The sequence below is a fragment of the Homo sapiens genome, chromosome 7 (genome assembly GCF_000001405.40).
Source record: "Homo sapiens chromosome 7, GRCh38.p14 Primary Assembly".
In the NCBI taxonomy this organism is placed as follows: domain Eukaryota; kingdom Metazoa; phylum Chordata; class Mammalia; order Primates; family Hominidae; genus Homo; species Homo sapiens.
Window position 1 is genome coordinate 120,151,299 of NC_000007.14, and position 1,770 is coordinate 120,153,068.

Below are 1,770 nucleotides of genomic sequence, written 5' to 3' on the forward strand. Positions count from 1 at the left end.
TTCAAATCAATAACCTAAATGTCTACCTCAAAATACTAGAAAAAGGAAGTAAGCAGAAGCAAGGAAATAATACACAAGAAAACAGAAAATCAATGTAATTAAAAAGAAAAAACAATACAGACAATCAGCAAAACAGATTCTTTTTCTTCAAAATATTGCTAAAATTGACAAACTCTAGAAATACTAAGAAAAAAAGAAGACATATCACTAATATCAGGAATGAAAAAGGGGATATTACTGTAAATCCTGCAGCCATTAGAAAGAGAGTAAGGAACTGCTATAAATGCATTATACTCACACATTTGACAACTTAGAAGATATGAACAAATTCCTTGACATTTACAAGTTAATTGTTGGGCTTGCCATTCTACCCTCTATGACCTTCCCACTCATTATCTCCTATCTCAGTAACTTTAAACTCACTCATATGAGGCCCTCCATCCTGTGGTACTTCACCTGTATTTCAAGAGCAAGTCAACAACTCATTCTTCCCTGGAAGCCATTCATGAATTTAAATTACCAAGGTAAGGTCACCATCACATATGTTGCCAAGCTGGGATATTCCACCAGTTTGGTCTCAAAAACTAAATATGTCTATGATTTCTTTATATGTGGTCATGGAAATCCCAGAGAGTATTGCTATTTTCCCAAATTAGAGTCTTAAACCTTTTACTCTCATTTTCCCACACATTCTATGAACCTCTACAACTAATATTTTATTTCTTAAGCTGGTTTATGACTGCATGGCATTTCTTGTATATTTTCTTTACATTTATATACTTTTATATTCATAAAATATCAATTAAAATGTTTAGACCTGGTCATTTATGAGTAGTCTATCTTTGTCAAATTTATTTCTTCTATGAATCAAAAGTCTTTAAACTTTTCTATCTCCTCTGAGGTCAGTTTGGGAATTTTTATTTTTCTCAAAGGTTATCTATTCCATTCAAATTTAATATGCAGTTTTACACTTTGATTTTGTATTTGACATATAATTTAAAAGAGATTTCAAAGTATTTATTATTCTTTTTCAGATGCAAAATTTGTCTGCAAATATTTGTAATACATTAAGTTTTTTTGAAGAGATGCAACATGAGAGGTTTTCGTTGTTGTTTTGTTTTTTCCTTTGGAGAATATGCCATCCTAGCACCTTAAAGAAAATATATGTTTTCAGGATATATATAATTCATAATTGTATATGTGGAATTTATAATACAAAAGTGAAATACAAATAACCAAAATATGATAAGGTATAATTAAGATGTTTATCTAAAAATAAGATTTGTTAAGATGTTATTGAAATATTCAATTAAAATTTTTTAATACTCTAAAATTTATAAAATTCTTGCCTTATAAATACTGAAGCTATTATTCAGTGTATGAATAGCCAAAATTGTTGCCTATTTTATTGCAGATGGAAATTTTATCATTATAAACTATCCATTTCTTGGGTATTTAATGCCATTTAAATTTAATTCAGAACAGTCTGACTCTGACATTATGACCAAGGTTCTTCATCTTTTTGGTATTTTTGCCATTAATTTTATTTTCAAATTCTTCAGACCATTTATAGTTATATCCCTTTTTAAAAACCATAAAATTGAAATAAGCAGCTTTTACTCATTAAAAATGCACTTATGAAATTACAGTTGTATTTATTGATAGAACAAATATATTTGGTCTTACTATCATTTTTATGCTCTGCTTTTGTTTTTATTCTATTTATAAATATTCAAATCTAGTCTGCTTTTCTGTAATAATTTTGTATGT